Source organism: Homo sapiens, chromosome 6, assembly GCF_000001405.40.
Source record: "Homo sapiens chromosome 6, GRCh38.p14 Primary Assembly".
Taxonomy (NCBI): Eukaryota; Metazoa; Chordata; class Mammalia; order Primates; family Hominidae; genus Homo; species Homo sapiens.
Genome location: NC_000006.12, coordinates 24,600,274 through 24,626,349, shown reverse-complemented (window position 1 = coordinate 24,626,349; position 26,076 = coordinate 24,600,274). Strand labels below are relative to the sequence as shown.

Sequence of the window (26,076 nt, the reverse complement as noted above, 5' to 3'; positions counted from 1 at the left end):
ATGTTGACCAGGCTGGTCTCAAAATCCTGCCCTCAAGTGATTCTCTCATCTCGACCTCCCAAAGTTGTGGGATGACAGGCACAAGCCACCAAGCCCGGCCCCATTTTCACCACTTCTAAAAAATCCTCAGATGCTTAAACAGTCTGTCACATGCCATTCCTTCCCACCACTGGCAGCCACTGATTTGCATTCTATCTCTATGGATTTGCGTATTCTGGACATTTCATGTAAATAGAATGGTACAAAATGTGGTCCTTGTGTCTGATTTCTTTCACTTAGCATAATGGTGTCAAGGTTTATCCATGATGTAGTAGATATGCCGTTCCTTTTTTATTGCCAAATAATATTCCACCGGATAGATATATAATACCATGATATGTTTATCCATTTTAAGCCTATGGGCATTTGAGTTATTTCCATTCATTTAGGTTGTCTTTACTTCTTTTGATGATGTTTTACAGTCTCCACTGTACAAGACTTATACTTCTTTTGTTAAATTTATTCCTAAGTACTTACTCTTTGTGATGCTGTTAGTATGTTAGTATACAGAATTCTTTTCTTAATTTTGTTTTCAGCTCATTCATTCCTAATGTGTAGAAATACAATTGACTTTAGTATGTTGTTTTCATATCATCCTTGCTGAACTCTAGTCATATTTTTGTGGACTCCTTAGGATTTTCTGTATATAAGATCATGTTATCTGTGAATAGACATAGTTTTACACATTCCTTTCCAATCTGGATGCTTTTATTTGCTTTCTCTCCTAATTGGCCTGGCTAGAACCTCCAGTACAATGTTGGATAGAAGTGGTGAGAGCAAAATCCTTGTCTTCTTCCTGATCTTAGGGGCAAAGCTTTTCAGGCTTTCACAATTATATATGATGTTAGCTATGGATTTCCATAGACTCTGTTTATCAAGTTGTATCAATAAATATTTGAGAATGAATACACATATATATATTTAAATATATTCTTTATAATGTTTGCTTTTTGGGTCTTGTTAATAAATCCATCCCTAATCAGTGGTTAGAAAGATATTTCTGCTACATTTACTTTTAATAGTTTTAAAGCTTTGCATTTCACATTTAGGCCTTTAATTCATGTAAATTTATACTGTATATGGTATGAAGTTGGGATTCTAATTTTGTCATTTATCTGAAAAGCAATTTTCCTAACACCAGTTTTATTCTTGTTCTATTTGGCAGACAATTTTATAGAAATAAAAAAAACAGAAGTTATGGGGTACTGTATTATACAATTCTTTTATTTATTGTTTCTGTTTTTTAGAGAGGGGAGCTCATTCTGTTGCCCATGCTGGCATGCAGTGGTGCAGCTATAGCTCACTGTAGCCTTGAACTCCTGGACTCAAGCCATCTTCCTCCCTCAGCCTCCTGAGTAGGTGGGATTACAGGCTGAAGAGCCTAACCATATTGTACAACTCTTAAGGCTGGGCAGAAATCTTGAATAGGACAGGATCATGTGGCACCGCACTCCAGGTTCCATTGTTCAGCCCACATTACATTGCATGTAGAAGGAAATATGGGAGTCAGGGCTTCACGTCCGACTTCCAAATCTCACTTGAATGCATTTCATTGGCAGAACCTGAATAACATTCAGATCCTTAGGTACAGGGATGTTGAGAAATGTAATTTTCACCTTTCCATCCCCTTCCCTAGAGGAGATGAGGGTAGGGGCTATATGAAGCTGTGCAGATGAATTCTGAGTGTCAAGGTCCCAGCACAAGGTTCTTCCAATTATCTTCTAATAGATCATTTTCTATTTTTTCCTCAATGTTTTCCTTCTTCTGCATTACACTTAGCTGCTATTGTTTCTTATATATCATGTATTTCATCATTCTTTCTTGGATTCATTTTTCATTTTGCTGGAATACCTCCTCCAAAAAAATTTTTATTTGTATGCAGGTGATAATATTCTGAGTTTTCAAATGTTCAAAAATATGTTGATTTTGTTTACATGTTTGATAGATAGTTTGTGCAATAAAGAAATTCAAGGCCTGGCATGGCGGCTCACAACTGTAATCCCAAACTTTGGGAGGCCGAGGTAGATGGTCATTTGGGCCCAGAAGTTCTAGACCAGCCTGGGCAATATGATGAAACCCTGTCTCTACAAAAAAAAAAAAAAAAAAACAACCCCAAAAATTAGCTAGGTGTGGTGGTGTACACCTGTTGTCCCAGTTACTCAGGAGGCTGAGGTGGAAGGATTGCTTGAACCCAGGAGGCAGAGGCTGCAGTGAGCCAAGATTGCACCACTGCACTCCAGCCTGCGTGATAGAGTGAGACCTTGTCTAAAAAAAAAAAAAAAAAAAAAAAAAAGAAAACAAAGAAATTCAAAATTATTTTTCTTTAGAATTTAAAGATGTATTATATTGTATATATTAAAGTTTTTAACTTTTATGGATTTTTGTGGATACATAATCATTGTGCACATTTATGGGGTACATGTGATGTTTTGACACAAGCATACAATGTATAATGATCAATTTGGATAACTGGGATATCATCACCTCTCACCTCAAATATTTATCATTTCTTTATGTTGGGAACATTCCAGATCTTCTCTTTTAGCTATTTTGAAATGCACAATAAATTATTGTTAACTATAGTCACCCTACTTTGCTATCAAACGCTGGAACTTATTCCTTCTAACTGTATTTTGTACCCATTCACCAATCCTCTTCATCCCCCTTAGAATTTTGAATTCCTCCATTGCCCTCGTTGTTCCACTAATGCCTATGAGAAATATGATGCTGCTCTGTGATTCTGGTTCTTTTGAAGGTAACCTATTTTTTTTCTCTTTGGAAGATTTTAGGGTATGTCCTTAAGAACTTTTGGAGTTCTTAACTTTTATCAAGATGTCTAGGCCATATATCCTGCTTGCCTGCTTGTACTATGTAGGCCCTTTTAATTTGAAGACTGGTTTTCTTCATTTAAAGGAAATTTTGTTCTATTATTTCTTCACTTCTTCCCCTCTATTGTCTCTGTTCTTTCTTCCTATAATGCCTCTTAGCTAGATGATGAAAATTCTGGACTCTCCCCTATGCCTTCTAACATTGCCCCATATTTTCTTTTCCTTTGTCTTTGTGTGTGTGCGTGTATGTGTGTGTTTGTGTTCATGTGCACACTAGGGGAATGTCCTCACATCTACCTTTCAAATCTGTAACTTGCCTTCAGCCACGTAGAACAGGTGTTCTGGAGCCAGATAGCTTGACTTTGAATTCTGACTTAGCTAATTTTTAGCTGTCTGAGCAAGTGACTTAATCTCTCTCTCTCTCTCTTTTTTTTTTCTTTTAATGAGATGGAGCCTCACTCTGTTGCCCAGGCTAGAGTGCAGTGGCACAATCTCTGTTCACTGCAACCTCCATCTCCTGGGTTCAAGTAATTTTTCTGCCTCAGCCTCCCGAGTAGCTGGGATTACAGGCACCTGCCACCATGTCCGACTAATTTTTGTATTTTTAGTAGAGACAGGGTTTCGTTGGCCAGGCTGGTCTCGAACTCCTGATCTCAAGTGATCCTCTCGCCTCGGCCTCCCAGAGTGCTAAAATTACAGGTGTGAACCACCGTGCCCAGCCATTAATCTCTTTAACTCTGTTTCCTCACCTGTGAGATGGGGAGAATAATAGTACCTGCCTCACTGGGTTAGTTTGATTATTAGGTATGTTAGGATGTTTAAAATGCGAAGAACAGATCCTGGGCCTAACACATAGGAGGTACTTAATATATATTAGCTGCTAGCATTATCAACAGTTATTCCACTTGTTCACTGAGGTTTTAATTTTAACAATCCTATTTTGAATTTCCAATAATTTTTCTTGTTCTCTGATTTTTGCCCCTCATTTGTAGCAGCCTATTTTTGTTTTATGGAGGCAATATCCTTTCAAATTTTTCCAAAGATACTAATTACTATTTTAATTATTGATATTAATTGTGGTTTAAAGTTTTTCTTTGTTCCTTTAATCTTCTATTTGTTTATCATAGCCTTTCTTTTTCATGTTCTTTTTTTTTTTTTTTTTTAATTTCTCAAATGTCTAGCAGTCCTTGGTTGCCTGTTCCTTTTGATCTGTGAGGGGCTCCACTGATCAGGATACTTGGCTGCTTTCTGACGTAGCTGTCCACTCATTGATTCATGTGAGGCTTGCTGTGGCATCTGAGTGCATGAGTGGGAGGTGTCTGGTCAGGTTTCCCTCTGGGGTGTACGGGTGAGCACTCCCCAGGCAGCCACTGGAAGGAGAGCTCTGCCTAGAGGTGTGGTGCTTCAGAATAAAGTAGATTTCATTCCAGGGCAGAGCTGTGCATTCGCAGACTCTGTTGACTCTCCTTTTCTCCCAGGCCCAGTGCTGCCACCAGGGCCCCATGGAGGTAGATCTCCGTCTCTTGAGAGAGCAGTTCTCTGGCTTTAGCTTGAGATCTGTTTTTCGTTTGGTGATCACCCCAACGATTGTGCCTTGGCCGGTTCTGTCTCTTTGCATCCATTGGCTCAGGGCTTGGAGCTTCTCCAGTGCTGTCACCAAAAGTGCTGTTCTTCCTTTTTCTAGGAAATGAGTTTCCTCTCTTCCTTTCCAGTCAGAGCCATGCCATCTGCTTTCTATCTTCCAGGAATTCTTTGAAATGATTGGTCTATTAATGATGTCCATTCTTATTTTCCTGTGTTGTTATGGTTTATTTTCTTTTGTCTGTTCTTATGTCCTGTTTGCCTCCCCTCACAGTTTTTCCCCCCAGTAAGACCATGCACAGGAAAGAGGAGAGCTGGATATACATCTATCTGCCATATTGAACTAGAAAGTTTTCTTTTTTATTTTGAGCTTTCCAAGATTTTCTTAATGATGCCAATTTCCTCCCAGATAGATTAATATGAATATATTTTTTGTGTGGGCTGTGTCTCTGGATGTCCCCTGGAATAATGGTGGTTCTTGTCTCCATGATCTGCCTCTTTAGAGAGCTCAATTCTCTTTTTAATGAACACTTGGGGGCTTGGTCTGTTGCTGCAACACCCTGCTTCTCTCAAGCTTCAATAATAAAGTGAGTGTGTTAAGGAACTATGAGTAGAGAACCATAAGATACTCGCCCATCTCCCAAATATCTCCCATACCATCATCTGTCAAAGGTACCTGAAATACCTTTTTGTCTTCAGGAATCTCCAGATGAAAATGCTAACGTCCTAAGAAAGAATAAGACCTTGAGGCTTAAATAAGTAATATCAGCCAACACCTTCATTTGGAAGCTTGGGTTTGTGGAAACATAATGGAAGGGAGATGATGGGAGGATGAGCAGGATGTGACAGGGACTCCCTAAAAGGGAAGTAGGTGTGACTGTATGCTTCTCAGTTTTCTTCCATGCCCACCCTGGCTGATACCACATAGTTTCTGTTTCTTATTTTGAATTGGCAGTAGGAAGTCAGCTGCATTCCTAGGCATACGCATAGGTGCTATTATAGAATGAATGTTTGTGTCTCCCAAAATTCATATGTTAAAAGCTCCAACCCCTGTGACTATATTTGGAGGTAAAGACTTTATTGGAGGTAATTAAATTTAAATGAGGTCATAAGGGTGGGGCCTTTATCCAATAGAATTAGCATACTCCCTTCAAGCCTCCAGAGCTTTGAGAAAATAAATTCCGTTATTTAAGCCACCGACTCTATAGTACTTTTTTCTTTTTATGGAAGCTTGAGCAGACTAATACAGTTGTCTTTAGGGAAAGATTGAAGATAGAAAAAAAGCAAAAACACAAGTATGGGGCCGGGAGCAGTGGCTTATGCCTGTAATCCCAGCATTTTGGGAGGCCGGGGCAGGCAAATCACCTGAGGTCAGGAGTTCAAGACCAGCCTGGCCAACATGGTGAAACCCCGTCTCTACTAAAAATATAAAAATTAGCCGGACGTGGTGGTGTATACCTGTAATCTCAGCTAGTTGGGAGGCTGAGGCAGAAGAATTGCATGAATCCAGGAGGTGGAGGTTGCAGTGAGCTGAGATCATGCCACTGCACTTCAGCCTGGGCGACAGAGTGAGACTCCGTCTCAAAAAACAAAAACACAACTAGGGATAGTCAGCATTTCCTTTTTTTATATATAAAAATTGAAGAGGCCTCATGTTTGGGATCTTCTTAGCTAAGATTAAAACCAAGTTCTGGAGTGCCACAGTCCAGGTGACAAAAATGATTTTTAAAAAAATTTGTGAAGCAGTTTTGCATACTTTTTTCATGTCTGAATATCAAGTTCAGGAAGCTTGACTCCACTACTCCCGACCAATATTGGCAAAATATATTGAAAATAAATTGCTAACTTATTTTCAGTAGCATATTATTGACCAAGGAAACACAAAACAGGATTTTAGGCCAATTAATCCAGCAGTGTTAGAATGAACAGCGAATGGGATCCATGTGATTGTCATTTCAGATGGTCGGCACTTTTTAGTCAGGCTGGAACTATATTTGGTTTGCTCTGGCTGAAGCAGCGAGGGAATTGCTATAGTGTGATTTGCACGCCTGCTGCAGCAAAATATGGCACTCTCAAGATCAGAAGGCACTGTTTTATTTTAAGTTTCTCCCCCTTGCACCTTAAGGTCTCTCTGCAGATGCATGTGACTAGGTGAGACATATTCATGGAATATTTTGAAAATAGGCCATTTCCCCCCTCGTGCATTTTCACTCTTTCTACTCAAGTTCATCCCTCAAGCATGAACATTCCTTTTCCATTGTCACTCACTCTCTTGGTGGTGTTAACCAGTCTTGTGGCTTTGAATACCAGCTACACAATGATGCCTCCCAGTGTATGTCTCCAGCCCTCTCTCCCATGAACCCTGGACGTATTTATCCTGTGGCCTATTCAGCAGCTCCACTTAGATATCTCTTGCATTTGGAGAATGACAACCCCATTCTTCCAGTTGCTCAGAGTCATCTAGGACTCTTGTTTTTGTGTCACACCTTACATCTTATCCATCAGCAAATCCTATATGCTCTACCTTAAAATAAATCAAGGCTCTGACTCCTCAGGGCCTTCACTACTATCACCTTGGTGCAAGACACCGTCCTCTCACCTGGATTATTGCCGAAGCTGCTAACTTGTCTCTCCATTTCTGCCTTTGATTGCTATACTCTCTTTTCAACGCAGAAGCCCGAGGGAGCTAATCCTGAAACATTTCCAGTTTCATGGTGAAAGCCAAAGATCCTTCATACTAACCTATAATACAGCCTCCCATTGTCCCCCACCCTGACCTTCTAGTGCTTTCCCTTTTCTAGCGATGCTGACCCTCTTGCTGTTCCTGCAATACACAGGCACATTCCCCGCCTCAAGCCTTTGTGTTTCTTTTTCCCTCTGCCTGGGAACTCTTTCCTCTCAGCTGTCCACATGATTCACTCCCTCATCTCTCCTAAGTCTTTGCTCAAATGTGACCTTCTAAGTTCAAAAATTCTCTCTTCAGCAGTGTCTAATCTGCTATTTAGCCCATCCATTGAGCTTTTAATAGCAAAAATCTTTTTGTTTTTAGAAGTTGTGCTTGGTTATTTTTCAAATCTGCCAGGATCTTTTTTTTTCTTTTAGTCTTGTACCTTGCTACTACTTTTTTTTTTTAAACATTTCATTTTATATTTATATGCCAGAATTCCATTATCTGAAATCTTTGGGACCTAATACTCTTGTCTTTCTTTTCTGTTGCTTTTCTTTGTGTTGCCTGTGTGTTTTGTACTTTTTGTGTGTTTTTGTTGTTGTTGTTGTTTGGGGGTGTTTTGTTCTTTTGAGACAGGGTCTTGCTCTGTTGCCCAGGCTGGAGTGCAGTGGTGTGATCATGGCTCATTGCAGCCTCAACTCAGGCAACTCTCCCACCTCAGCCTCCTGAGTAGCAGGGACTACAAGTGCACACCACCATGCCTGGCTAATTTTTTTTTTTAAGTTTTAATAGAGATGACATCTCACTATGTTGCCTAGGCTGGTCTCAAACTCCTGGGCTCAAGCAGTCCTCTTCCCTTGGCCTCCCAAAGTGTTGGGGTTATAACTGTGAGTCATTCTACTTGGCCTGTAATTTTGAATTGTACGTTCTGGTTTGTCTAGGTTCTCTCTGGGGTTGAGAAAACTTCTTCCAGAAGGAATTTATAATTGCCTCTGCCAAGTACCTGTGGCACTGACAACTCAGGACAACTTTAAGTTAATTTCTCCCCCTGGGGTTTATTAAGCCAAACTAGTAATGAAAAGCCAAGCCCAAACTTATGTTAAGCAAACCTATGGTTGCCAATTCTTGAAGGAGAAGTTTATCTGCATACAGAGCCCAGTGGCCAAATTTTTTTTCTGGTCTACCCTTCATGAACGAGGTTCTATTTCTTATATTTATTTTTATTATTTTTATTTTCATTTTCCTTTGAGACAGAGTCTCACTCTGTCACCCAGGCTGGAGTGCAATGGCGCAATCTCGGCTCACTGCAACCTCCGCCTCCTGGGTTCAAGAGATTCTCCTGCCTCAGCCATCCAAGTAGCTGAGATTATAGGTGTGCGCCACCACATCTGGCTAATTTTTGTATTTTTAGTAGAGATGGGATTTCAGCATGTTGGCCAGGCTGGTCTTGAACTCCTGACCTCAGGTGATCCACCCGCATCAGCCTCCCAAAGTGCTGGGATTATAGGCATGAGCCACCACGCCCCGCCAAGGTTCTACTTCTTTAGGGTTCCTGGCTTTATGAGGCATTTTTGCTCCTACTCCCCACCTTGAGTGAGCTCAAGGCTCTGACTTCTGTCCTCTGTGCATCCATGAAACTCACATCTCTCTATTGTATAAATCAGTGCTGTATCTGGCAGCTTCAGCTTCACCATCAGCTTTCCGCTCTGCTTTCTAGCTCCCTCTTTGTTTTGGGCCTTTGGGGATATCCTTTATTCTCTTGTGAGTACAGCTAGGTATTTAAAAGCATATTTATTATATTTTCCCCAGCAATCTCAAGATTTTGCCGCATTGCTGTTTTACTAGATACAGAAATCCAGACTTTTTCCACTCATGGATAATACTGTGTTTTCTGTTTATAAGCTGTATTTTTCATATAATACTGTATCATAGACATTGTATCCTACCATTAAGTGCTCTGCTACTAGATCACTTAAATGCCTTCATTGTAATTCAATAATGTTTAATCATATCCTAATATTGGACATTTGAGGTTCCATTTTATTATTATTAGTATTTTTTTAGTTATTATGACTACATTTATTAAATGTAAATGGTTGTTCCTTATTATGAGATTATATCCTTCCTACTTTTATGATATTAAATATCAACTTTTAAATGAAATATTGGTAGTAAGGTTTTTAAATTTGCTTAAATATCTTTACTTGACCATCCCTTTAACATCCCCCAATTTTTAAAGTCCTTTTTGAATTCAGCATTTTATTATTAATTTAATTCAACATCATTATTTCTTTATAATATGAGCGATGAGTTTGACTTACTGAAAAACATTTTATAGTTTTATTGTTATATTTGGAAAAGAATAGTGATAGATATATAGAAAACTAAGAAAGCAACCAAATGAGAAATTTATTAACTAGAGGTAAGACAAAAGTTTTTAAGAGAAAGATAGATATGTGGTTCATTAGTGAGAATATTCACATAGTTATAATAAAGTAAACCCTGTAGAAAATAAAAGTTGTTTTAAAAGTCTATACTGCATTCATATGGGTTTTTAGAAAATAAGCTGTCAAAAATAACCAGGCCGAGCACGGTGGCTCATGCCTGTAATCCCAGCACTTTGGGAGACCGAGGTGGGCAGATCACGAGGTCAAGAAATCGAGACCATCCTGGCCAACATGGTGAAACCCCGTCTCTACTAAAAATACAAAAATTAGCTGGGTGTGGTGTCGTGCATGGTCCCAGCCACTCGGGAGGCTGAGGCAGGAGAATCGCTTGAACCCGGGAGGCGGAGGTTTCAGTGAGCCGAGATGGCGCCACTGCACTCCAGCCTGGCAACAGAGCGAGACTCCGTCTCAAAAAAATATATAATAACCTTATTAAAAATCATACTCCAGTAAGAAACTTAAGTAAATTACTCATCTTAAGAACATCAAGATAAATTAGACTTGTATGGTATTTGAATATATGAATTTTAAGGATACCTCAAGAGGATCATACTGGATGTTTTACATTATTAATTGGGTTTTAAAAATATCCTCAATTTTCATACCAGTAATTTTTGTAAAGCCTTGTATTTAAGCAATATTTCCAAGGAGTATTAAAACAACATACAACAGAGTCTTTAATACCTACAAACAATGTCTTCTGTGGAAGGGTCTGGAAAAATTATTCACTTTGACAATTGTCTTATTGGACTTTCAGTTCTAGAAAGCACTGCCTTGTTTAAAAGATAGATGTTCATCTTGCTTACCAGAGAAACTCATATTTCTGATAATATTTTTTCTTAAGAGGGACTCCCTCTTTGATATACTGACTATAGATGGAATTAAACAATAATAGAACCGTGAGAGAGAAGTAGAGAAGGGGTGATGTGTGTATGTGTCTGTGTGCAGCATGGTAGGAGGTGACTAAGTCTTCATCTTTCATAGTAAGATGCAAAAGAGAATGTTTGAAATGGAAAGCTCAAGAAATAGTGATATAAATTATTTTTTAAAAGGTGGAGGCAAGTAACAGAAAGAAGAGCTGTAAGTGTTAAAGGTGGTTATATCTTCAGAGTAGGTCTTGGGGCTGGAGAGAATAGGCATGGAACTGCTGTTTTGTAACACTGTTTGCCTTTAAAAGTGATTAACTTAAAATATTTATAGGGCATATCACATTATCTAGAGTAAAAACATACTCTGTGGGAGGTCTCTTTCCCACCCTTGTGTCTCACCTGACTAATTTCCCTTTTCTTCCCCTCCACACATAATCACTTCTCTTAGTTTGTTTTATATTCTTCTGTATTTTTTTTTTTGCAAATACAAGCAAATAGGATATACAGAAATAAATATCCTCCTTTCTTCTTCATAAAGGTAGCTTACTATAGTCACTGACTTTCCTTGCATTTTTTACTTAATATCTAGAGATTTCAATAATACCAATGTGTATATAGAGCTGCATAGAATTTCATTACCTGGCTATATCATAATTTGTTAAAGCAGTCTCCTGTCAATTGACGTTAGGTTGTTTCCAGTCTTTTATTATTATTCATAATGCTATAATGTACATTTGTAACTTCAGATGGATGCAAATAAGTAAAGACCAAAGTAAAAAAGCTGTATAATGTAAATTAATGTAATTGTTTAAAAATTCATTACAATTAACTCTAAATACTGTATATTACAGTTCACTTTTAATTATTCAGGAGATTTATCAATCATTTATTCATTCATACATTTATTGAATAAATTTTGAGCTCTTACTATGTACCAACCCCTCCTATAGTTCCTGGGGATATAGTTGCAACCAGACAGAGCCCCTGCCCTGTGGCTTACAATGGGATGTATGGGAACCAGGCAACGAGATGCTGAGTGATGATGACATAGTGAGGTCACTTGGCAGAGAGGATAATGACAGCGAGGGGCTGGCTGGTAAAACAATGCCATTCACTCTGCTACACCTAACTGCTTGGATTCTCTATAATAAATATTTATTGCTTTTGTAAATTAGAAGAAAACCCAATTGATTTTTTTTAAGTGAAGGAGAGAGACACATATGCAGCATAGCATAGGGAAAGAACATATTCTATGATGTCAGACATACCCAGATTGGATCTAATTCTTGGATACCTTAGCCTTTCTGAGCTTCAGTTTCATCATCTATAAAGTGGGGACAGTAATATTTAATTGTTTTTTTTTCCCGAAGGATTAAAACTAATGGACGTAAAATGCCAGGAACATTATGGAATGAATGGTAGTTTTTACAAATGTGAATTACAATTTTTATACATAGTTGCACTTGTGGTGATAATCTAGCCTTGGGACTTGTCTAGAGGAGGGAACAATGACCTCAGCTTGGAGGCTGTGTTTGAGAAGCTGAGGAAGGCTGCATAGATAACTGGCTTTTGAGCTGGATATTTCCAGGGTATGGGAGAGAGCACTGGGCGACTGGGAGGTGATAGAAAGAAGACCGGGAGGCGAAGAGAAGGGCATGGAGACACAGTTGGGAGCATTTGCTTCCTCTCCCAAGGCGTCTGTCCTGGCATATGTCAGGAATTGCTAAGGCTGGCTCCTTCCAACATTTGAATCAATCTGTGAAACATGCTCGCAATTCATCACAGTCTTAGGAAACCTGCCACGGGGTATCTTGGGGTTGTTTTTAGTTGACCTGCGTTTATTGGTCACAGCTACTTTTCTGAAATCAAAAGCAAACTCAACTGCGGTGAAATGGAAAGAGAAATCTATGAATAATATATTTCCTCCTATTATCCACAGGATAGTTTTGGGCAAGCCTTACCAAAAAAACAAGGCAGTTAAGAAATAAATATCAGATTCTGGATATGTTGAATCCTGGCTGTCACATACAGGATTTTTTTTCATACACTCAGCCCCAGCTGAGATGAAAGCTGTTAGCCGGCTCTGAAAAATAATTTGTCTCAGAGCAGCATGGTAATTCCATCTCTTTGAAATAAAGGTTGCTCAATGCAAAAAAATTGAAAATTAAAATTAAAATCCATTCCTTTTGTTCAGTGGTTTGTTTTCTAGGTCTTTCCCTCATTTTGTTTTTTTTTTTTCCCTCAAATGATCTGCCTGTTCCTCCTTGTGTTCTTTCTCTTGTTAACCAGTTGTTTGTGCTTACATTAAGTGATTTCAGAAATCAGTGGGGATTCAGGATATGGACTGAAATCTGGGTTGAGCTTTTGCTTCTAGGAGTGAAGTGTAAATGTCAGCTCTTTCTCTTCATAGTGTTGTGTTTGTAGATCTTCTGGGGAGAGAAATACATGAGCTGTAGTTCTAAATGGGCTGCCCAGGGCACATGGGCATTTTCTCATAGTTAGAGTTGCCAGACAAAACACTATAATAATGTCCCAAATATTGCAGAATAAAAAAAAAATTATTCACCTGAAATTCAATTATTACCTGGGAATCCTGCACTGTATTTTCATTTGCTAAGTCTGCCCACCCTGTTCATCCTCCACCCCTCTCTGTGTTACGCGCAGATTCCCTTCCTGCATTTAACCCAGGTCTTTTCTTACTGCTCTCTGGTGTTACTCACTCGAAGCTCTTAATGCCGAGTAGATGTAAGCTCTCAGCGACCAAAAGTAAAGGCAGGAATGTTAAATTTATTTTTTTAAATATTAAAAACATTCACATAATTCACAAAATACAAAAGGCGATTTGTTTTTAAAAAAAATTCTCAGCCGAGGCGGGCGGATCACCAGGTCAGGAGATCGAGACCATCCTGGCTAACGTGGTGAAACCCCGTCTCTACTAAAAATACAAAAAAATTAGTCGGGCGTGGTGGCGGGCGCCTGTAGTCCCAGCTACTTGGGAGGCTGAGGCAGGAGAATGGCGTGAACCGGGGAGGCGGAGCTTGCATTGAGCGGAGATCGTGCCACTGCACTCCAGCCTGGGCGACAGAGTGAGACTCAGTCTCAAAAACAACAACAACAAAAAAATTCTCCCTGAGCCCTCTCTCCCCTCATCAGCACAGATGTTAAAAATTTTTTGTGAATTCTTCCAGAGATATTTTATACATTTTCTAGCAAATTTATATTTATATTTTTCCCACCCCATTCGCTTTCCCACAAGAGGTGAGTACTGTATATACCATTCTGCACTTTCTTTCTTCACTTAACAAAAGGTGCTGGTATATAACAGTACATGAAGAGCTTCTTTACTAATGCAAAGTATTTCATTTTATGACCAGACCATAGTTTATTTAATTGGTTTTCTGCTGACACACATTTGGTTGTTTCTAGTTTTTCTTTCTTTTTTCCATCTTTTCTTTTTCTTTATTTTGTAGACAGGGTCTCACTCTGTCACCCAGGCTGGAGTGCAGTGGCACAATCTGGGCACACTGCAGCCTTGACCTCCCAGGCTCAAGTGAGTCTCTTACCTCAGCCTCCCGAGTAGCTGGCATTACAGGTGGTGCCACTATGCTTGGCTAATTCTTTTATTTTTTGTGGAGATGAGGTCTCGCTGTGTTTTCCAGGCCTGCCTCGAACTCCTGGACTCAAGTGATCCTCCCGCCTGGGCCTCTGAGAGTATTGGGATGACAGGTGTGAGCCACCATGCCTGGCCCAGACTTTTTCCATATGTGACAATCTCTTAGGTAAAAAATGGCATCTCACTGTTTTAATTTGCATTTTTCTTTTTGTGAGTAAATTTGAGCATCTTTTTCTTCTTTTCTTTTTTTTTTTTTTGAAACAAAGTCTCACTCTATCACCCAGGCTGGAGTGCAGTGTGATCTCAGCTTTCTGCAACCTCTGCTTCCTGGGCTCAAGTGATCCTCTTGCCTCAGCCTTCTGAGTAGCTGGGACTACAGGTCCATATCACTATGCCACACTAATTATTTTTTTTTAAGGGATAGGTTCTCCCTGTGTTGTCCAGGCTGGTCTTGAAATGCTAGGCTCAAGTGATCCACCTGCCTCAGCCTCCCAAAGTGCTGGGATTACAGGGGTGAGCAACTGTGCCCCCGGGCCTGAACATCTTTTAATGTATTTCAAATGCGCTTATATTTTCTTTTCTATGTTCTGTCTGTTGACAGACTTTTTCTATTGAATTTTTATTAATTTGAAAGTTCTCTTATGTATTAGGGAAATTATCCTTTGTCTGCAATGTGAGTTGCAAATATTTTCCCAATTTGTTGTTGACACTTCTACTGTGCTTATGGTGATTTTCCATGAACATTTAAGACAACCATATATTTTATTAGTGGATACAATTTAGCCATATTTTTCTTTTCTTTTTTTGAGACAGAGTCTTTCTCTGTCGCCCGGGCTAGAGTGCAGTGGCACGATCTCAGCTTACTGCAACCTCCACCTCCCGGATTCAGGCGATTCTCATCCCTCAGCCTCCTGAGTAGCTGGGACTACAGGCGCCCGCCACTATGCCTGTCTAATTTTTGTATTTTTAGTACAGACAGGGTTTCAGCCTGTTGGCCAGGCTGGTCTTGAACTCCTGACCTCAGGTGATCTGCCCACCTTGGCCTCCCAAAGTGCTGGGTGCTGGGATTACAGGCGTGAGCCACTGCCCCTGGCCTAGAATGTTTTCATTACTTCAAAAAAAAAAAAAAAGCAAAAACTGTACATCTTATAATTTACTCCCCATTTTCTTCCAATCTCCCAACCCTGAACAACTACTAATCTACTTTTTGTCTATGTGGAGTTGACCATCCTGCATATTTCATATAAATGGAATCAAATAATATGTGGTTCTTCCTGACTGGCTTCTGGCTTCTTTCACTTAGCATAATGTTTTGGGTTTTTTTGTTTGTTTGTTTGTTTGTTAGTATATTTTCAAAGTTTATCATGCTCTAGCATGTATTAGTACTTCATTCCTTTATATTGCCTATTACTATGCCTTTACATGGATATACCACATTATTTTTATCCGTTTTTCAGTTGATGAATGTTTGGGTTGTTTCTACTTTTTGGCTATTATGAACATTCATGTACAATTTTTTTTTTGTTTTGAGGGAGGCTTGGCTCAAAAAAACCATAGGCTCAGCCTATGTTGCCCAGGCTTGTCACAAACTCGTGGGCTCAAGCGATCCTCCCCGCTCAGCCTCCCAAAGTGCTGGGATTACAGGAATGAGCCACCCTGCCAGGCCTAACTCCCTTATCATGTACACATTGTTTTGTGGCTATATGTTTTCATTTCTCTTGAGTATATACATAGGAGTAGAATTGCTGGGTTATATAGTAACTCTGTTTAACTGTTTGAAGAGCTACCAAATTATTTTCTAAGTGGCTGCACAATTTTACATTCACACCAACAATGTATGAGGATTCCAATTTCTCACATGCTTGACAACGTTTTTAATTGTCTTTTTTATTATAGCCATGCTAGTGGGTATGAGGTGGTATCTCATTGTCTCTCTGACTTGCATTTCCCTGATTGCTAATGATATTGAGCATATTTTCATGAGCTTATTAGCAATTTATGTATCTTTTTTTGGAGAACTGTCTATTCAGGTTCTTGTTCATATTTAAAATGATTTGTCTTTTTATTATTGAATTATAATACTTATTTGTATATTTTAGATACAAATCCCTTATTAGATTTTTGATTTGCAAAAATTTCATCCCATTCTGTGGGCTGTCTTTTCACTTTCTTGATGGTGTCCTTAAAAGCACAAAAGTTTTTCATTTTGGTGATGTCTATTTTATCTATTTTTTCTTTTATCATTTGTCCTTTTGGTGTCATATTTAAGAAACCATTGCATAATCAAAGTTCATGAAGATTTACACCCATGTTTTCTTCTAATAGTTTTGTAGTTTTGGCTCTGATATTTGGGTCTCGATCCATTTTGAGTTGATTTTTGTATATGTTGTGTGGTAGGGGTAAAATTTTATTCTTTTGCATGTTGGTATCTGTTTGTTGTGGCATCATTTGTTGAAAAGACTATTCTTTCCCCATTGAATTGTCCTGGAACCCTTGTCAAAAGTCAGGCTCATAGTTTCTTGTAGTGCTTTTATGGGCCTGTGCTTTTCATCAGAAATTTATTTCAACACTTGTAAAAGTAAAAGCTAAAAAAAAAAAGATAAATTTATCTGGTTCAGGGATACAGCTTAGCATTTTTTTCAGTTGCTACCTGTTTCTCCAATACAATTTATTTAATAACCTACCTTTTCTCCACTGATTTTTGTTTGTTTGTTTGTTTGTTGGTTTTGAGACAGAATCTCGCTCTGGTTGCCCAGGCTGGAGTGCAGTGGCGTGATCTTGGGTCACTGCAACCTCCTCTCCCGGGTTCAAGCAATTCTTCTGCCTCAGCCTCCTGATTAGCTGGGATTACAGGCATGTGCCACCATGCCTGGCTAATTTTTGTATTTTTAGTACAGACGGGGTTTCATCATGTTGGCCAGGATGGTCTCAATCTCCTGACCTCGTGATCTGCCTGCCTCGGGCTCCCAAAGTGCTGGGATTCCACTGCGCCCGGACTTTCTTTTTTTTTTTTTCTTTTTTTTTTTTTTTTGTTTTTGAGACAGGGTCTGGCTCTGTCACCCAGGCTGGAGTGCAATGGCATAATCTCGGCTCACTGCACCCTCTACCTTCCAAGTTCAAGCAATTCTCGTGCCTCAGCCTCCTGAGTAGCTGGGATTATTGGTGGCTGTCACCACACTCAGCTAATTTTTGTAGTTTTAGTAGAGACGGGGTTTTGAAATATTGCCCAAGCTGGTTTCTAACTCCTGAGCTCAAGCAATCCACCTGCCTCAGCCTCCCAAACTGTGAGCGGTTGGCTCACAGGCGTGAGCCCCTGCACCTGGCCTTCTCCACTGATTTGACATGCCTTTTTTTTTTTTTTTTTTTTTTTTTTTGAGACGGAGTCTCCCTCTGTCGCCCAGGCTGGAGTGCAGTGACATGATCTTGGCTCATTGCAAGCTCTGCCTCCCGGGTTCACGCCATTCTCCTGCCTCAGCCTCCCAAGTAGCTGGGACTACAGGTGCCTGCCACCATGCCCGACTAATTTTTTTGTATTTTTAGTAGAGACGGGGTTTCACCGTGTTAGCCAGGATGGTCTCGATCTCCTGACCTCGTGATCCGCCCGCCTCGGCCTCCCAAAGTGCTGGGATTACAGGCGTGAGCCACCGCGCCTGGCCTGACATGCGATTTTTAATCATGTCTTTTGGTCTTGGAAGTATTTGGATCCATTTATTGAATATCTGTACCATTCAGTGATCCATTTTTGCACCTGTACCATCCTCTTTTAATGATTTTTAAAAATAATATATTTCATTATATGGTAGGACCAGTTTTCCCTCAATTATCTCATTTTTCAAAAAATTTTGGCCTTTTTTCTTGTTAATTTTCCCATGTGCACTTTAAAATTCATTTTTTCTAGTTTTTCATTCACCCAAATAAAAATTCTGCCAGCACCATTTTAATTAATTTAGGAAACACTGATATATTTATGATATTGAGACTATTTGTCCAAGAACATTTATTCATGGTTTCCTCCATTTATTTAAGATTTTTCTCCATCTATTTAAGGTTTTTTTGTGTTCCTCAGTAGCATTTTATTTATTTATTTATTTATTTTTTCCTCAGTAGCATTTTAAAGTTGTCTTAAAATAGATGTGCAAATACCTTGTTAAAGTCAGCCTTAGGTCTTCTATTTTTTGTCTGTTGCTGTTGCTATAGTCCTCTATTATGTTTTCTGTATTTTTTATTGCTATAGTCTTCTGTTACATCTTCTACCTAGTTGTTGTTAATTGTTAGAATTTGAAGCGATGTGGATATAATTTAATCTTCTGTTTATTTTTTAAATTGTTTTCTCCTTGAGACTTAAATTGGCATTTAAGCATCTTTTTTCTAGTATGCTGCCAATTAGTTCGTTCACAGTTGGGGACTGCAAAGTTATTTGGCATGGAGAGCAGCAATTTTGAAATCATGGCATTTTAAAAAATGTTTTTAACTAAAGGAACATATTTTTATTTAAAATGCATACTTAAGCATTCATTTTTTAACTAAAATTGTTACTATTAGTAGATGAGAAATAAGTAAAACCTGGAAGTATAAATGTATCAGCTTATGTTTTAAATTAGTCGCTTTCCTCAGGAAGTTTACAATTTAGTTGAAGAGAAAATATACATAAACCTAAAAAATTAATTGCTTCTATAAGGAAGCATATGTTAGTTACCATATAAGTGATTCCAGAATACAAGGGTATATCTGCCATTTTAAAAATTATTAGACTGTCATTTGGCTTTATAGTATTTGCATTGTCCATAAAGCAGCCATTACTCACTGTAGGTGTCTGCTTTGATCTTACCTGAACCAAAGTATTTTATAACCCATAAACTGGAAAAAAAAAAACCGAAAAACAAATAGTGTCACTTATCAGATAAAATTAGGTCTGGCTTTCTTTCTTTTCTTTTTCTTTTCTTTTTTTGAGATGGAGTCTAGCTTTTGTTGCCCAGGCTGGAGTGCAATGGCACGATCTCGGCTCACTGCAACCTCCACCTCCCGGATTCAAGTGATTCTCCCACCTCAGCCTCTCAAGTAGCTGGGATTACAGGCATGTGCCACCATGCCCAGCTAATTTTTGTATTTTGAGTAGAGATAGGGTTTCACCATGTTGGTCAGGCTGGTCTCAAATTCCTGACCTCAGGTGATCCACCTGCCTCGGCCTCCCAAAGTGCTGGGATTACAGGCATGAGCCACCGCACCTGGCCTGGCTTCTTAGAAACAAATGTTCAAGAGAAGCAGTGGCTTAAATGAGAGAAAAGTTTATTTTTTCCTCAAGAATTCAAAGGTTGGCTGTCCAGGGCTGGTAGGCAGTCCCATGTCTTCAAGGACCCAGCTCCTTCCATCTTCCCAGCACTGGCTTGCTTTCTCAAGGCCTCTGTGTAGTCCTAGATGGCTGCTGTGGCAGCAGACCTTGTTTTCTGTTCTAGGCAGCAGGAAGAAGAAAAGATGAGGAGGACAAAAAGAGCTTCCCTCAGAAGTTTTATTCAATAGTTCCTTTTCTGTCTCTTTGACCAGTGTATAATCACATGACCACACTAAGCTGCAAAGGGTGAGGGGAGGTTGGGAAATGTAGTCTGTTAGCTGGGTATTCTGGGGCCCCAGATAATTATGTGAGTTTTATTACTAAGGAATAAATGGAGAATGTTCACTGAACAGGCAATCTTTGCCACAGTCACCTTCATCTTATCCTTGAGCCTCATTCTCTGCATCCTAGACCTTCATCCCTCCCTTGTCCATGTCCTGGCACAGGAAGTGATCCATCAGTACTTGTTGAATACCCTTCTGTGCTTTGCCCATTTCTGGCCCCATCTCTGGGCTCACCTCATTCCCACATCTCATTCATTCTCTGACACCAGTCCCGAGCCTTACCCCATCTCTGAATCAGTGATGTCATCACCGTCACCCAAAGAAGGGAAAGAATTCAGCTGGGGTGAGGCTTCTCAGATGGCCTAGGGGTCATGCATGATCGGAAGCCTAGAGAAGGAATGAGATTGAGGAACAGGATATGGCCAGAAATATGAGGAGTCAGAAATACCCATTCCGGCCAGGCGCAGTAACTCACGCCTATAATCCCAACACTTTGGGAGGCCAAGGTGGGCAGATCACTTGAGGTCAGGAGTTTGAGGCCACCCTGGTCAACATGGTGAAATCCTGTCTCTACTAAAAAAGTACAAAAGTTAGCCAGGCATGGTGGCAGGCACCTGTCGTCCCAGCTACTTGGGAGGCTGAGGCAGGAAATCGCTTGAACCCCGGGAGGCGGAGGTTGCAGTGAGCCGAGATTGCACCACTCCACTTCAGCCTGGTGATAGAGTGAGACTCTGTCTCAAAAAAAAAAAGAAACATCCATTCCAACATCTCTCAGTAATTTTGTTTAAAAACCTATGTCAGAATGACCATGTTAAAATAACTGTCTTCTATAAAAATGAAATCTATAAGTGTATTTTATTAATACAAAGGTAAGATGTGTTCAGTTTAGAAAAAAATAGAAAATACAGATCAGAAAAGAAGCAAAAAAGGAAAAGAAAAAAAGCATATATTATTCTCACCAGTTTTCACCATGGGGGGACATTTCCTTTCAGATCTTTACATGTATACAATTGATCCATGCAGAGTTTATGGAAGGATATATGGGCTTGTACTATTTATAACATTTTGAACTTGTGAAGGCTTATTTTAAAAGTTCTATTTTGTCACTCGATTAAACTTTACCTTTGATCAAAATTGTTAAAGAGCTTGACAGGCTTTCTATGTAAATTCTTTAAATATTTTCTTCCCTTTTAATGAAGACAGAAAACTACAGTGAGGTGGGCAAAAGGCAAGCAGCAGGAGAGAGCATGGGTCCAGCAAGAGAACTGGGTCATTCGGAGACTGAATAATAAGTAAGGAAAGTCTTAAGTAATCCACAGTGGAATGGATGAACTTCACAGAACTATCAAAGAGGGTGGGGGTGCCACAGTGAAAGCTTGAGGTCTTGAGTATAAAGACTGACTCTGAAACTCAGCAGCATCTTTTCCTGTAAAATGGGAATGAGAACTCCTAACTCAGAAACAGTTCCTACAAGTAGATCAAATAAGATAATATAGGTGAAGGATTATTTAATCCATAAAGTACTAACTATGTATTTAAACAGCAACACTTGGCCGGGCATGGTGGCTCATGCCTATAATCCCAGCACTTTGGGAGGCCAAGGCGGGTGGATCACCTGAGGTCAGGAGATCGAGACCAGCCTGGCCAACATGGTGAAACCCCATCTCTACTAAAAATACAAAAATTAGCTGGGCATGGTGGTTGGCGCCTGTAATCCTAGCTACTTGGGAGACTGAAGCAGGAGAATCGCTTGAACCCGGGAGGAAGAGGTTGCTGTGAGCCAAGATCATACCATTGCACTCCAGCCTGGGTGACAAGAGCGAAACTCTGTCCCAAAATAAAAAACGAAAACAAAAACAAAAGAGCAACACTTATAAGCTATTAGAACTGAAGGAATTTTTGATAACATCTAGTCCATATGCCTTTTAATGTTGAGGAAATGGAGACACATTGTCTTCTTACATTAAAGTACCCCCAAAGAAAGAACCTTAAATATGGTATTGAGAAGAGGAAATGCTTTTTATGCTGAGCACCTGTAATGTTTGCACTGAGATAATGACAATAAATTGCTTTCCAGGTACAATATGGTTGTGAAAGTTGTACCTTGCACAACCAAAGGCATTCACCAAAGGGGCATGGGATTGGGAATTTGGCTTATAGTCCATTTGCCAAACTGTGTTCCTTCAGAGCAGTATCTTCTCTTAGAGCTGCCTTTTCTTAATTTGCCTGAAGGTACCATATGGTATGGTGGAGGCCCAATCTGTATCCATGGGATTCTTGACCAGTGGTCCCTGGCTGATAGCAGTGTTGCTATTCTGGGCCCCAGCACCTTGGGCAGTTGAATAAATGTCATTTCTGGGAGGCCAGTTGCTCTTCTCTTGCCCTTTGGTTAGGGGGTAGTCAATGGCTGCAGATGGAAGATGGCCAGTCTTCCCTTCCACCTCCCATCTCTAACATACTTTCCTCACTGGAAGCAAAGGGAGTTATTGGTGGCAAACTTTGCAGAACCAGGTATTCTTCCTCTAGGGTTTTAGGCATGAATGTTATGAAATGCTTACTGTTTTCTTTCTCCATTTTACCTTATCAAAGCAGGTGTTCTGATGGCCTCAGGTCCGTTGTACTGACACAGAGGTGTTACACCCACCTCCTGACCTTACCTTAGCTCACCTTTAGTCTGGTTCCTTCCTGTCCCTTGGTCTAACTCAGCCCATCTCTGGACCTTAAAGGCCCTTTTCACCTACCCAGAGCATGGCCAGTGATGGTGTTAGGCTAGGCAGCAGCTGTGCTCGGTGTGGTCGACGGCAGTCCCCTATGTGCATTTCAACGGGCGGCACTCTCGTGATTTGAGTTGGTTCTCGATTAAACTCAAAAACAAGGCCTAGAACTTCCAGACACCATCTTAAGAGAATGTTATGTGTTTGATTTTGTTTGCAGGCTCCTTGTCCTTTCTGGTTATTTCCTGCCCCCATTAGGCTGCCACAGAGTTCTTAAATAACTGACTGGAGACATCTGTCGGGGTGTTTCCCTCTCTTTTTCATCCCTACAACACTTACACATTTCTAAAAGTACTGCAGTGCTTCTGGAAACAGGGGTGCGGAAGAGTGTTGTCCTCCTATAAGGTTTTATCCACACATCCTCTGCGTGGAGGGAGGAGGAATGAAGGAGTGGGTGGAAGAGACTGGTGTGAACTGGAACTAAAATCTAGTTTATTACAACATACCATCTTGCAACTCACAGTGGGATTCTGACACCACATTAGGAAACCTTATCTAGGTTTTTTGAACATGAACTTGTGTGTTTCCTCCTGGGAGCCTTTGTTATGTATTTGAAATAATAAGCACTTGGAGTACAGATCCAAGTCCAGACTGCCTTGTACTGGTTCTTCTACTTTGGGCAAACCAGTTCACTTTTTTGAACCTCAATTCTATCACCTAATGCAGAGATAATAATATGTCTGGGTTGTGGTGAAGATCACACTGAGAAAGTACCAGGCAAAAATAAAGTGCTTATATTAACTAAATTCAATGAAATGTAAGATACTAATGACTGTATTTAATAAAATGCATGATTATTTTAAATACCACTAAGGAAAAGAATGCTGTCAATTAAGCCAAGATTTACCACTTTCTTCTCACTTAGAATGTTTAAACAAATTGAAAGAGATTGAGGGGGGTGCTTATTTAGACAAATTTTTATCATAAATCATTCTTGTGCATATGTAAAAAGGAACATATAACTGACACATGAAGGTATTCCTAAATTTTCTTCCTGCCCAATAACTTGTCAATGCAGTTATTGATACCCGTTGGTTTTCCACATATTACCTGCGTGCCATCATGAGCTTTGGGGGATGAAGCATTTCTTTTTTTCTTTTCTTTTTTTGTTTTTTTTGAGACGGGGTCTCGCTGTGTAGCCCAGGCTGGAGTGCAGTGGCGTGATCTCGGCTCACTGCAAGCTCCGCCTCCCGGATTCACGCCATTCTCCTGCCTCAGCCTCCCGAGTAGCTGGGACTACAGGCGCCCGCCACCACGCCCAGCTAATTTTTTTGTATTTTTAGTAGAGACGGGGTTTCACCGTGTTAGCCAGGATGGTCTCGATCTCCTGACCTCGTGATCCACCCGCCTTGGCCTCCCAAAGTGCTGGGATTACAGGCGTGAGCCACCGCACCCGGCCAGGATGCAGCATTTCTTAAGAGAGTGCTTTATGTTGTGTTTGGGATGCTCTTCCAAGCCTCTGACCCCGGTTCTGCATAGCTGATGTGCATGCATAAACAATGCCATCCACTTCCGGCCTGGCATGTGGCCATCTGCAACTGTAGGACATCCTGATATCAGAAATGGTAAAATGTGAAAATATTTATGTGTTAGAATTCATGAAATATAGGCTGGGCATGATGGCTCACGCCTGTAATCGTTGAGAGGCCAAGACGGGCAGATCACTTGAGGCCAGGAGTTCGAGACCAGCCTGGCCAACATGGCAAAACCCCGTCTCTACTAAAAATACAAAAATTAGCCGGGTGTGGTAGTGTGCGCCTGTAATCCCACCTACTTGGAGGCTGAGGCACAAGAATCACTTGAACCCAGGAGGCGGAGTTTGCAGTGAGCCAACATTGTGCCACTGCACTGCAACCTGGATGACAGTGCAAGACTCTGTCTCAAAAAAAAAAAAAAAGAAATACAGTAGTGTGATTTATTCCATCATTATTTCATAGTTTTAGCTTTGAGAGCCTGGATATAAAAGCAGACAATGGCCAGATGAAATATAAAATAGAACTTTGACCGACAATCCACAGCCCGGGAAACCAGTCCCTTGTCTACAATAAGCAGCCTAGGAAGCCAGCCTGCTATAAGTCAGACTTGTAGGAAGCCAGATTGCTATCTCTATAAACAATCCTGGAAGCTAAACAGTAACTTCTGTAACAATCAGCCTCGAATGACCAGGACTTGATTAATAACTAATGGCTTCCTTAATTTTTATCCCTTCTTCCAACTTTGGACCAGTCAGAGAAAGCCAAACATGCCTCCTAACCAGTCACGTAGGATGCCCCACTTCTAGCGAGCTGCCTGCAGCTTCCCACTGCAACAGCCTCCAATTAGAGCACACCTGAGGCTTTCTCTTTTTCTGCTATAAAGTTTTCCCACTCCTCTGCCTGTCTTTGAGTCTCTGCCAAAAACAAGTGATGGTGGCTGACTGCCTTTCTATAACAAGCTCTGAATAAATAGCCTTTGCTTTTCTCATTTGACTGGTCCTCGTTTATTTCCACAGCTTGTAAGGAGAGTAAGCATGAAATTCTTTGGCTCTTCTTAGGAACTATACTGGCTATTTGAACAAACGCTCTAGGTGGATGTTTGCCTGGGTTGTGGCTCTGTGATGTGACCAGGACAGGCTTCCCACTGACATGAATGAATGATAGAAATAATTTTGGATGTTTCTACATTTACCTATTCTTTTCTTCCTTCCTCTTTTATGTTTTTCCTTTGAAGTTCTTGAGGCCAAATCTGGCTCCTAAAAAACATCAAAGGAAGCTTGCACCAAACTCTCTTCAGGGCCGCCTCAGAAGCCTGCCATCACCCACTGTGTGGTGCACAATGGCGCCCCCCACAGGTGTGCTCTCTTCATTGCTGCTGCTGGTGACAATTGCAGGTAGGGAACTACTACCCTGGAGATACCCGTGTTGGACTTGAGTTTCTTGACTAGTGTAAGCAACTCAGATCAACCTGAGGTGAAGACGCTGTTGGTTTGCTTTTCAATAGAATTATTTTACAGGTGAAAGCATGAAAGGCAGACCTCATGCATGAGTGGTTTTCCGTAAACAGGAATTTAAGTTTATTTTTATCATGACTATTCCATGGGAAAATAAAATCACATTTCATATATACTAGGAAAACTTTATGTTTATATATTGAAAAGAATTGCATACTAGATCTGGCTGGAAAGGCCAGACTTCCTTTTATCAGAAATCTTTATTTTCATTATACTCAGTTTGCTTATGGTGGATGCACTCATGGCAAAAAAATCACTGGTGAGCATCATTTAAGAAGACCCATGACTAGACTGGGCTGGCCGAGCCCATGTGAGTATACCAAGGATTGAGGGTGGTGATATGACTAGAAAAACTGTTATGTACAGTTTGTCCAAATGTAACACAGCCATAATGAAGATAACCTTAGCGAGACCCTTGTTAAAATGCAGTTTCTCATGCCACACTCCAGACCTCCTAGGGATGTGGCTCTGGGATCTGGGTTTTCAGCAGCACCTGGAGATGATTCAGAAGCACCCAAATTTTGGGCAGCACCATTTTATATGATGTGAGGGCCACTCCAGAAAGTATTGCCATTGGAAAAGCCCATCATGACTTGTAGATCACTTACTCCCCTCCATCCATCCATCTTATTAAACTCATTCCTGCTTAGTGTGT

The 26,076-nt window shown here is 40.2% G+C and overlaps 1 protein-coding gene across 20 annotated transcripts in view; it reads left to right on the top strand.

Moving 5' to 3' along the window:
* The window catches only part of KIAA0319, a 106,051-nt gene that overhangs the window by 19,842 nt on the left and 60,133 nt on the right, over positions 1 to 26,076 (top strand). For 15 of the 20 annotated variants that reach the window (XM_017011546.3, XM_047419602.1, XM_047419604.1 and 12 more), the window contains exon 2: positions 25,142 to 25,301. The exons of 3 other annotated variants lie outside the window; for them this stretch is intronic. In XM_017011546.3, coding sequence (XP_016867035.1) covers positions 25,247 to 25,301 — 55 coding nt within the window. In that variant the 5' untranslated portion in view covers positions 25,142 to 25,246. Of the gene's footprint in view, positions 1 to 25,141; positions 25,302 to 25,640; positions 25,732 to 26,076 lie in introns of all 20 variants that reach the window. 2 more of the 20 variants (NM_001168374.2, XM_017011541.2) reach the window with 1 other exon arrangement.